The sequence below is a fragment of the Homo sapiens genome, chromosome 2 (genome assembly GCF_000001405.40).
Source record: "Homo sapiens chromosome 2, GRCh38.p14 Primary Assembly".
Taxonomy (NCBI): Eukaryota; Metazoa; Chordata; class Mammalia; order Primates; family Hominidae; genus Homo; species Homo sapiens.
Window position 1 is genome coordinate 54,452,881 of NC_000002.12, and position 12,398 is coordinate 54,465,278.

General features: G+C 43.8%; 1 protein-coding gene across 10 annotated transcripts in view; it reads left to right on the top strand.

Annotated features, from left to right (window-relative positions):
* SPTBN1 (spectrin beta, non-erythrocytic 1) overlaps nt 3,447–12,398 on the top strand; it is a 215,120-nt gene continuing 206,168 nt past the window's right edge. The window contains exon 1 of one of the 10 annotated variants that reach the window (NM_003128.3): nt 3,447–3,638. The gene's annotated coding sequence lies outside the window, so the exon portion shown is untranslated. Of the gene's footprint in view, nt 3,639–3,850; nt 4,086–4,286; nt 4,428–4,511; nt 4,608–4,828; nt 4,924–5,102; nt 5,298–6,457; nt 6,529–12,398 lie in introns of those variants that run through there. The other 9 variants (XM_017004781.2, XM_017004779.2, XM_005264517.3 and 6 more) reach the window with 9 other exon arrangements.

Consider the following 12,398-nt stretch of genomic DNA (forward strand, 5'->3'; position numbering starts at 1 on the left):
TGAAGATCTTTTATAGAAAGCTGAGACCATTTATTGTGATCATTTTATAAATATTGTTATACATTTAGGTTACCATCTATTCAGATTTATCATTACACATATCTTTTACTTTTTTATTGATTGATTATATCTAGAATGGAATACTAGATATAATCTACTAGAATGGAAGATCCATGAAAGCAATGATTTTTTAAAATTATTTTACCCATTGCTCTATTTCAGAGCCGAGAAGAATATAAGGCATATCTATCTCTTGAATAATGAAAGAATAAATTACTTTATGCAAGAGTAAATATGTTATTAGTGCTTTAAAAAATTCATTCATAATGATAGTTTACATATAAGTCTTTAGGTTTTCCCAGTGCAAAATTAATACATGTGAATTCCCAAATGAAATATATTTTAAATATGAGGAAATTTCCCAGACTAGTTCAGAGTTAAAAGGAAGCAAGTTTAGGAGTAAACAGGAATTTTAAAAATATATGCAAGTTTTCAAAATATGTTCTGATTTTAAAGTTTTGGGCTATTATCAGTACAATAAAAGATGAGTTCAATTGGGTTAATATAATATAACCAAGGAAATACTTAGAGTATCATTCTCTTTTCTAAACAAAACAGGTTGTAGTAGACAATACTGTTTATCAATACCTTTTTATTTTATTTTATTTTATTTTATTTTTTGAGACAGAGTCTCGCTCTGTCACCCAGGCTGGAATGCAGTGGTGCGATCTCGGCTCACTGCAACCTCCGCCTTCCAGGTTCAAGTGATTCTCCTGCCCCAGCCTCCAGAGTACCTGGGACTATAGGCGTGTCTCACCATGCCCGGCTAATTTTTGTATTTTTAGTAGAGACGGGGTTTCGCCATGTTGGCCAGGCTGGTCTTGAACTCCTGACCTCAGGTGATCCACCCACTTCAGCCTCTCAAAGTGCTGGGATTACAGGCATGAGCCACCGTGCCCAGCCTTCCCCTACATTCTGAATGGAAAGTTAAAATGACAATTTATATCTGTAAAAATTTTGTAATAAAGTATTTTGATGGGAGATAAAGCCATATGCAATCACATGGTTTTAAAAGTGGAGAGTAGTATGTTACAAACATGATATTGAAGACTTCTAGGTTCCTTTATATCAACCCTGATTCTAATATGAGAAGAAACTAAGCCGCTTCTGAGATACATGGGAATAATCCTTCTGAGCTGTTATCACTGCCTAAGACTTTTTATCTTTTTTAGATTTTGCCTTCCATAAAAATGTCTTCTCCAATAATCTTTCCAGTTGTACTATCTTTTCTTTGAATTGTTACTTCTTTTTGGTCGTTGGTACACTGAGTTCTCTAGGGTGATTTTTTGCACCTAAGGGTAAGAATTCAAAATTGTGATGCAGGTATTTACAGTAGAACTCTGAATCCTTGTCTTTCACATTTTTGGAATAATTACTGGGGCTTTACTAGAGTACCTTGCTAAGGTGTGTGTGGCCTTTTTTTTTTTTTTAATTAAAAAACAACGTAAGTGGGAGTGGAATGGGGTAAGGGAGGTGAATCATTCATCAAATGAAAATTTATTTAAATACCGTTGTCTGTGATAAAGGAATAACCATTTCAGAATAACACTGGAAGAATTAATTTAAATGGATGCACTTCCCAATATTGTTACTGTTTTCTTTGGTATTTCATTAACATTGTGAGTGGGGAGGTGCTGGGGTCCATGGTAAAAAAATAAGTAAGTGAAAGGCAAACAACTTTGCTTTCTAGTGGATTTCCCTTATTACCTAATGAGGGCAGCAGCTTACAAGTTGATTGTGTTCAATTCAACAAATTTGTTTTAGTACCTAAGTGCCTGCTATATGTACAGAGTGAAGAAAGAAATAACCCTACCTTTAAGAGAGTTTACGGTCTGGTTGTGTTGATTCACCTTCTGAGAAAAAATGTTATTTGCTTTCCTCAATTTTTTTCCTATCAAAAGTAAACATAGGTTCAAACATTCAAACCTATGAAGGCCTAAAAGGAAGAATCATCTTCAGTTTGCTGTGACGATTTCACTGAGTTTTATTTTAAAATATTCATTTAAAAATACATACAAACATATAAACCCATCAGGCCAGGTTCTAGTGATCTGAGATATAAGCATGATACAAACTACTTGGCTGCCGTGTATTTTTGTTTTATTTTAATCCAGGTGATCAGGTCTGTATGGGGAAAAAGCCCTGGGGCTTTTTCAAACAGGAAGGGCCCTCCTCCCTCTGAATGCCCGCAGTGCCGCCCTGTGCACTTTACAGAACAAGGAGAAAGTCAGTTTCTTCAAACTGCTTTTCTAAAGAGCGTTTCCATTCGTGGTCCTGGTGATTCCACCATCTTTTCTTCACAACAGTGACGGTTCTGGAATTTCTACACAGCCTGAGGGGCTGACGGGGTAGACCAGGTGACTGGGAAGGGGCAGTGGCACATGACAAAAATTTGAGGAAACGTCCAGTTTCCGTTTCAGGGAATGCGCATAGGGGAAAACGCAAGTCCCCACGCCATCACGGGGCCCTCCACCGCGGCCGGACGACCCCTCTCTCGGGAGTGACTGGGGCAGGGCACCTGGCCTCAGGTTCGAGCGGAGCCTGCACTGAGAGGCAGGAGTTGGATGAACCACTTGTAGGGTCTGCTCCCAGCTACCCAAAGCGAAAGGGTGGGCGAAAAAGCATTTGCAAAAGAATACATTAACCTCACAAGGAACGACCCCCACCACCCATCCTCCAGCGCCCAAGGTTTCCCACGAAGAGGTCGCCGTCGCCCTTCTCCAAGTTGGGTAGAACCTATAAGGCATCACCAACTGCATCTCAAACCAACCAAGCAAGTGACGCTCCAAAACCTCCCTAAATACCCTCTCTCCCCAGCATTCCGAACGCAACATCAAGGGCGAAAAGAGGCTGCACAAATCACGTAGAAAATTAGACCGCCTCTTTCCATGGCGATAATCGAATTAGCCTCAAATTAAACGTGAAATTGGCCCTCTCCGGCTGTGGAGACAAAGCCCCTATTGTCCTGCTCGGGTAGCGGCAGCAGCAGTGCCCACCCCGCCCCGGCCAGCCTGGTCGGTCCCCGCCGCTGGGAGGATGAGGTCCGGGCTGGACCCGGGAAGAGCCTCAGCTGGAGAGGACGTGGACGCGCCCGAGGCTCGGCTCCCTGGGCGGCTGCGGGGCTCCGGGCAGGAGGAGAGGGCGGGCGAAGCAGAGGGAGCGGGCGGGAGTGGGGAGGGAGGAGTGCGGAGGGCGGAGGGCGTGCGGGAGGGATCCCGGGAGTGCGCTTGTGTGTGTGTGCGCGCGCGCCCGCCCCGCGCGCTCCTCTCCCCGCCCCTCGCCCCCTCCCTGCGAGCGCCCTCCTCTCCTCCTCCCCCCGCCCCCCGCGCTCCCGCCCAGCCCCCGGAATCAGTGCCGCTGTTGCCGTGCAGGCTGCGGATTCCTCCAGTCCCTCCCTCGGCCGCCTCTCCTCCCGGAGCGAGCGCGCAGCCCTGCGCAGCAGCGCCCACTGGTCCCGTCCTGTGAGCCCCGGCCCCAGCCGCGGACAGACCCGCGGAGTCGCCTCCCGGCCCACCCGCCCGGCCGCCGAGGAGCGGGAGGAGGACGGGACCCCGGCGCCCCCACCCCATCCCCGGGAGGTAGGTAGGGGGCCCGAGGCAGGGAGATGCCAACTCACTGGGGCTGCCTCCCGGGTGGGCTCCGCGGCGGCGGACGGGCGGGAGGAGGGGCGCGGGCCCAGGGCCGGAGGACGCCGCTGCCCGCCTGCCCTGCGCCCGGGGAGCCGCGTGGGGGCAGGGAGGCTGCAAAGCCCGGGCGGGGGCGGCGCGGGGAGCCCGGGTCGCGGGTGCTCATTGGTACTCGGATGATGCGGGACGAGGGGCGGCAGGCTCTGCGGTGAGGCGGCAGCAGACCCGCCGTGCGCACCGCTGCCGTCCGGCCCCAGCCCCGGCGCGGCGCGGCGATTCCTCCTCCCTGCCTCCGCCGGCGCCTCCCTGCAGCCGGGCGCGGCGGCCCCTGACGCGGAGGCCCCTGGCGCGGAGGTGGGTGCGGAGCGGACAGCGGACAGCCGGAGGGTCTATTTTCAGGTGCCCTCTCTGTGGCCCCGCGGGTGGGGAGCGGGGGCGGCGGTGACAGGGCCGGGCTCTGCGCGTAGCGGTGCAGGGGATGCGGCCAGGCGTGGTCCCGGCTGCGCCGCGCTGCAGCTGAGCCGGAGGCGGCGGCCCCGCGCCCCCACCTCCGCCCCATCCCTGCGCTTGCTACCCTCGTGCGCCCGCCCCCCCCCCGCCCTTTCTGCCGTCCCCACTCTCCCAGGGCTGGGCGTGAGCCGCCTCCGGGCGCCGAGCCGCCGCTGCGCCCGCCCTTCAGCTCCTGCCACCCTCTCTTCAACAGGTTTGTCTCAGCGCAGGGACCCTCCGGGCCTGCTTTGGGTAGGTGGGCTGGCTCGTCATCACCCCCCACACCACGCCCACGGCCCTCTTTTAGGGGGCGCCTTCTCTTTGTTTTTGTGATAGGAAAGGTGCCAACTGCTGCCATCAGATGAGGAGGGGGTGGGGATCAGAACGCAAACCTCTGTCCATTATTTTTCCAATCGAAAGCCAGGCCAGATAGTAAGTGAGGACAGGGTGCGTGTGGGGGTGCTTCGGCGGAGCAGAAAATTGAATTCGGTGGGGTTTATTTGGGCGGGGATGTGCTTTTTTGGCAAGATGGATGGCTCACGGTGCCCTCGCCGTGATGCAGCACAATGCAGCAGTATCGCAGCTTCCTTGGTTCTCGCTGGCGGGGCTTGGCACGGCCGCTCGGCGCCTGCGGCCCCCGCCCGGCCCCACCCAGGCCCGGGGCTGCCCTTGGCCGAGGCCTGGAGCTGCTGCTACCTTGTCCTGCAGCTTCTGCTGGATGTGGCGTCAGGAGGACCAGGTCAGCTAGGTGTGAGCAGGGGAGAGTCTTTTCTTTTGGGATGATCCCTCCTGCACCTCTTCTTGGGCTGCGCTCTGCCGGAGGGGCGCCCTGCATCACCAGTGCAGGCAGAGGGGAGCCGGCCTGTGGTTGCGGATCGGAATCTGATCTGCGACCAGGGGACCTGAGCCATAGGGAGGGGCTGCAGGAAGGACTGGGCCCAGTGGTGTGCGGAGGCAATGTTGCAGTGTGGGGAGTCGCAGCGTTTTTCTGTGGATCGTCCATAATCTGTAACCACAACCCAGCTATGCATTAATTTTTTCTACGTGAAAAGTTGGTGTTTATTAATTGGACCTTCACAACTGTGACATTACAGTACCTCGTCTGTCTTTGGTTAATACCAAGTATGCATTTTTTCTGTAGGAAACCATTTTTAAATGAAATGATTAATGCATTTTGGGTTTTATGTCACTAAGACATTTATAAGTATATTAAAATTCAGTAGGTTGTTTTAAAAGGAATTTATATGTTTTTTAATGGATAGTAAATGATTCCTTTAGCTTGTATTTTGTTTTCATCGTTTGCTTTTTCTAAGTCAAGTACAGTTGCATTATTTGGATGCTTTATTAAGGATTATTAGGTGTATGAGTGTCATGATGGGGGCTAAATTGGTATTCAGATTTCTATTGATTGAGGTAGCCAAGTTAAGTGTCCGGGCGTAATTAATGGGATTATGACAGTAACACTGCGTTTGTGTTTGTTTATATGTATTTTTTGTATACATATTTTTCACAGCTGTGACTGGGGAGAGGGTGGAGAAGGGCAGACCACCAAGGCCTCTTGACTGGCATCTAGTCAGAAGGAGATGGTTCCCAGTGTTCTCATGTTTAGTCTCGGCCAGGACACAGGGAATTTCCCTTCTAAATGCCATCTCTATAATTCATTATTCAGTGTGGGATGGCAAATGGGATATATTTCAAATGTCAACCCAGGCTTTCCTAAAATGTTTAGGTGAAAAAGGAAATTTCAATATGCTAGTTGGAAGGGAAGGTCAGTGTTTACAAGCCAAGGGCGTGCCTGCTTGTATTTTTAAATATTTCTAATGAATCCAAGTTAGTTGCTTTTGATTTCATGTGGCTCTGCAGAATAGAACTGCATGTACATTGTGTGGTGTATGTGCGTTATTTTGAGTTTCTCTAATAGCCATTAAAATATGAGACTTTTTGTGCTGGTTGTGTAAAATCGTGTTGCGTACAGATTTTTATGAATGTTGTTCCCATGGATCATCCAAACGTTTTGGATTTACTTTGTTGTAAGAAATATCCTGTGTTGATGTCACAGGAGGTTTAGCTGTTCTGACTTACACAGCAGGTGCAGAATTCTGTTGGGTTAAGCTCTTTGTAACTCTGTCATTACTGGAGTGACCAAAACCTTCATCTGAGAGGAGAAGTATTGGGCAGTGAAGGAACTGCTGTCACTAGGTCGTCTCCCACAGTTGAGGTTTTCTGTGAAGAACTTCTCTTGGGCAAGACTAGTAACAACTATCTGTGATGTTGCAGAGCAAATGAGAAGACCTCCCTCTACTTGTGACACATCCTGAGCAGAGGCTTGGCATTGGCAGAGTTTCCTGGAAGGGTTTGTAGAGTGGTTGCTTTGTCTTGATGTTTGAATGTATGACTTTACATGTGGAAGTACTATTTTGACGTGGAAGGATTTTACTACTGCTAACATAGACATGATTAGTGGAAATCATTCAGTGTGGATTTTGTCGAAATAATTTTAAGCTTTTCTTTTTAATAGCATATTCTTATAGAACATTTTAAAGCCTAATTTTTTTTACGTGCAATGACATGATGCTCCTTTAATTATGTTGCATCGTAACTAGTATCTTCATTATAATTGGGCTTTATTTAATGGCAGCCGTAGTTTCTTTCACTACATTATTGGAAATGCAAACCATTCTTCCAGAAGGAAGGGGCTAACTACCCCTGTTAGAAGAGTGAACTTTGTAGGTCTGTGGAAGTGAGTAAAGCATCTCATGGGTTTTTCTTGTAAATTTTCAGTCTTTGCTTTTTCTCAGGGCATCTTTTCTTTGCAAAAGACCTAGTTTAGTACTCTGATTTTTCCGGTAGCACTTGTAATTATATTTAAATTTTTATTGTGTGGGAATAACATCATCTATTTTTTTCTACTCAGTGGTTAAAGGAAATTACACCAATTAGATATACCTGTGTTTCTATTTTTAAACATCTCTGGAGAAGGCATTTTCATAATGTCCTTTGCTATCATAGTGAGGTTCACGGACCTTCAACATTAGAATCGCCTGGAAGCTTGTTGCAAATGCAGATTCTTAGGCCCCACTCTGAACTCAGCCAATCGGAATCAACATTTTAACAAGACCTTTAAGTGAGTTGTATGCACATTAAATGAAGAAACTCTATTCTGTTCCTTCAGCAAAGGGACCTCAATATCAAAAGTTTCCTTCTTGAATTTTCCTTTCTTTTGCTGAAGTATCAGCACATTTTTTTCCTTGATGGTGGTGACAAAAGTGAGGCTCTCACTGTAAATTATTTGTTTAATACAAAATTATTTTATAAAGCTGTTCTTTAATTCTTGGTGGAAGAGTCCTATATACCATGGTTTATTTAGATTAATCAGTGTTTTAGGTTGTTTTGTAAAACACCTCTAAAGTTGAAAAACAGTCTTTTTCCCCTCTGGAAGAAAAAGGCATTGGTTTTGAGACATCAGAGCTGGAGCCTCGGAAGCTAACCCCTGAGCAAAGGGTCCTCTCTGCTCCCTCTGCTCTGGCATCTTGATGTCTGTCATCTGATATAGTCAATGTCCTGCCCTCTCGTCCAGTCTTTTCTTAGAGTTCTTTTTTGAATCAACTAATTGGTAGGTACAAAATAATGTTCCTAAAATATATGTTAAAGAATCGTAAACCAGCTGGGTGCAGTGGCTCACGCCTGTAATCCCAGCACTTTGGGATGCCGAGTGGGGGCGGATCACTTGAGGTCAGGAGTTCAAGACCAGCCTGGCCAACATGGTGAAACCCCATCTCTACTAAAAATACAAAAATTATCTGGGCATGGTGGCAGGCATCTGTAATTCCCAGCTACTCGGGAGGCTGAGGCAACAGAATCAGTTGAACTGGGGAGGCAGAGGTTGCAGTGAGCCGAGATCGCGCCACTGCATTCCAACCTGGGTGACAAGAGCGAGACTCTGTCTCAAAAAAATAAAAATCATAAACCAAGGGACACTCAGGCAGCCACCGGCTAGTTCAGGAAGAGCCTTATACATTCAGAGCCCACCTCCATCATCCCATCTGAAACAACCCATATCCTTGATTTTGTGCATATCATTCCCTTCTCTATGGTTTATCCTTTTTAAAAAATCTTGATTGTGTATGATTTTGAACTTTATATCAACAAAATTATACTTTATGTATTCTTCTGACTCACATATTTAGATTAAGATTCTATTCCCAAGGTTTATCCATTTCATGGCTGTATTTCATTCAGTTTCACCTGCTGTATAGTATTCTAACGTGATTTATTTATTCATTGTACTCTAGATGGAGATTTGGATTGATTCCAGGTTTTTTTGCTATTGTGAAAGGGTTGCTGTGAGTGGTTTTTGTACACGGCTCTTGGTACATATGTGGAGGCACACACACCCATTTGCTGTCTCTAGGGAATGAAATTTTCTGGCTCACAGGGCATATGCATCATCAGCCTTAGTAGAGAATGTAGAACTGTTTTTTACAAAGCGATTATGTTGATCGTGTTCCCACTAGCCATAAGTGTTACAGTTCCAAAGCCTTGCCAGTGCTTCACATACCAGGCTTGAAAATCTTGTCCAGTGAAACATTATCTCACTGTGATTTTTATTTACAATTTCTCTGATTATTGAGTTTGAATGTCTGTTTACATTATTAACCATTTGGGTTCTTCGTTTTGTGAAGTACCTGTTCAGTCTTTTACCCATTTATCTTATTAATTTGTAGTTCTGTATGTAGATTACTACTAATCCTTTGTGGATTACATGTCTTGCGACAATTACTTCTCAGCTTGTGTTTTTTTTCTTAACTCGAATTTGTGATTTCTTTTGATGATCGGTTATTTGTAATTTAGCAGAGTCATAATCAGTATTTTGTCCTTTAAAGTTTGTGAGGGTAATTTTCTTATTTCAGAAAAGTTTTTCTTTGTTTGGAAAGAGCATTCGTTTTGGAGTCAAACAGGTTGTGGGCCCAAATCCTAATGGTGTTGTATACTAGCCTTATGGCTACCACTAGGTACTGGCCTTGAGCTAGTTAGTTACTCAAGACCACAGTTTCCTCATTGGAAAAATCAAAATAATATTAGTTTCTCTTAGTTATGATACAGCAGTGTACAGTTCCAGGCACATAGTACGTATTTAGTTGATAACAGTTGTTTCCTTTCTGTTGGGACTGCCTAAGCACTATGACCCACTGATCCCTTTTGGTATGCTTTGCAAAAACTACCTAAACCTTTTTATGTCAGGAGAGCTATTAAATGGCTTATTCTAACTTTTGTATTTTAAAAGGCTGCATTACCAATGGCATTTATATATTGATTAATACAGTCTGAAGAGACCACTTACTAGAAACCCTTATCAGTTTAGGTTCTGGTTCTTGAAAGTAATGTAATTACATTTATTTGTACACAGTTCTTTTGACCATTAAGCATTTATAGTATTAATGATCTTCCTTTACTGCTACTCTGAGATTACTTTGTAATATTGTTTTTTATTTAATGAATAATTATTGGATACATTATCTTGCCAGGACTTGAAGTTGTTATGGTTTTGTGGACTGGCTTAAAGTTGAATAAGAATTAGTTCCTGAATGAAAGGACTGTATACTCTAGTATATGGAATATATTTTATGTACTATACACAGAAGGTAAAATACCTTTAACAGGCTGGATGTGTGACTTTGGCAAACCTTTAACCCTCCGGTCTCAGATCTAATTTTATAAAATGGAAGACTTAGATGAAATCATAGTGGGGGTTAAAACATGGCACATGCCATCACTCGCTTCTGTTCCTGGCAGACATCGAAAATCAGTAATGGTACTCTTTTTCCACTGAGCTGAGATAGTCTCAGTCATATTCTCGACATGGTGTTCTAGGCAGTAACTACCACTCGATTAAATCTGGCATTCAGTTTTTAAGCTCCTGTACACTTCTAAATTCTGTGATTATAAGATACTTGAGAAACTCATCACCTTGGCAGTGTTCAGAATACAGTGAGACTGGAAGAAACTAGAAGCAAGGAGACAGGAGAGAGGTGACTGGGGGTCCAGAAGTAAAGGGAGCAAGTTACAGTGGTGGCCAAGGGAACAAGGAGAGGAGAGATGGGAAAATGGTTGTGAAGGCCCAATCCTATGCGAAGCTATTTGTAGGGTAAATGGATGGCAGGATGGATGGGAGGTGGACCTAGTGGGTGACGAGCTAAGCTAAGGTGATAAAGATTTCAAATTTGAATAATGACAATGAGCATGTTTGGTGATGATGACAAATAGACAAGTCAAGTGCATGATTGGATATTTGATTGGGAAGAGTATCAGTTTTGCTTTAAACATGTTTGAGTTTGAGGTTCCAGCACAATCCTCAGTGGAGCTGGAGAGAGGTCATGGCTAGAGAGGCTGATGGGAGGCTTTGGATGGAGGGGCCCTGGGCCCCAGGCTTCAGGCTCTTTACACAACCCACCCACCTCGCTCACACGCTAAGTGACCTTGGGCAAACTGCCTAGACTTCTTTGTGTCCCTCAACATCTTCATCTGTAAAATAGTCGTAATGAGAGTATCTACCACATAGGATTATTAAAGCCAAATGAGGTAATTCAGCGCTTATCACAATAAATTTTAATGATTATAAAATGTGGAATTTTTGCTTAGTTTGACTTAATATTATGCTTTCTTTCAAATAAACAGTTTGATTTGTTTAGAAAAGGTATATTCTAGCAAATAACAATCATTTAGATAAATAATGCTAAGTTCCATCTGTATTAAACCTGTTCCTATACATCATGTCAAAATAATAGGAAAGGAAAATCTGATTTATATATATGTATTTTTTAAACAAACAATAAAATGCTAAAGCCTTAGTAGCTAAGGAAATGATATGAGCAGATAGTTTATAAAAGAAGAAATCAAGGAGGTCGATAACTGTAAGTTCAAACTCACCAGTGTATGAAATACAGACTAAATTAATTAATTTTTCCACTTAATGGATAGATATTATGCTCTGGGCTGCTGTGAGATGGGAGCTCTGCATCACCTGTTGAGAGCATATTTTGATTAATACAAACTTAGGGGAAAACAGTTGGGTTATATATATGTAACAGAAGCCTTAAATGCTTATACCTCTTGAACTGAAATCTCACATGTAGCTTGGTAACCTACAAAAACAATTAAAAATAAGGACAAGTTTTTAAACAAGGATTTTCTTGGCAACATTAATAGAGAAAAGGGGAAATGTTTTTTAATGGAACATAATCAAATAAATTATGGCGCAACTGTAGGGTGGAATTCAATGTAGTGCTTAAAATAATGGTTTGGAAGAATATTACTGAGATGGGAAGATGCCGGTAATACAGGGGTTAGTGGAAATATCTGGATGCAAAATTGTATAGTGTACTATAATCCTGGTTTTACTGTATTAAGTAAAAGACTGGAAGGAAATACATTAAAATGTTAATGGTTTGCTTTGGATGGTAGGTTGATGGGTGATTTCCTCTCTTGTATGAAAGGAAATTCCCATGACTTAATGTTTCTCTTTTTGAGTTTTGAAATATTTCACGGTAGAGAAGAATGCAGTAAATAATATAATAGATGACCATGAGGACCATTTGTTTTGGTTTGTTTGAGGAACTTTTTTTTGTTTTATTTTGTTTTCTTTTGTTTTGTTTGAGACAGAGTCTTATTCTGTTGCCCAGGCTGGAGTGCATTGGCACGAACATGGCTCACTGCAGCCTTGACCTCCTGGGTTCAAGCAGTCCTCCTGCCTCAGCCTCCCAAGTAGTTGCAGGCGTGTACCACCACACAGGGCTAATTTTTAAACCTTAAATTTTTTTATAGAGACGAGGTTTCACCGTGTTGCCCAGGCTGGTCTTCAACTCCTGAACTCAAGTGATCTGCCTGCCTTGGCCTCCCAAAGTGTTGGGATTACAAATGTGAGCCACCGTGCCCAGCCTTGGGCACCATTTTTTAATAATCAAAAAAGCAATCAACACTTTAAAAATTCTAATTTTTAAAAAGGAAAGAAAAAAGTAAATCTGTCCAATTGTAGATCATTATTAAGAAATAGTTTTAAATCCAGCGATTGTTATATCTGTCCTTCTTTGCAGTTTTCTAAGAGCAATGATACAGTGTGTAAGTTAGCATCTTAAGGGTATAGGTGTGAGATAAATTAGTGTATTCAAATGTATTAATTCTCTACACTAACCTAGGCAGCTTGAAAAGAGCAGAGGACCAGGGTTC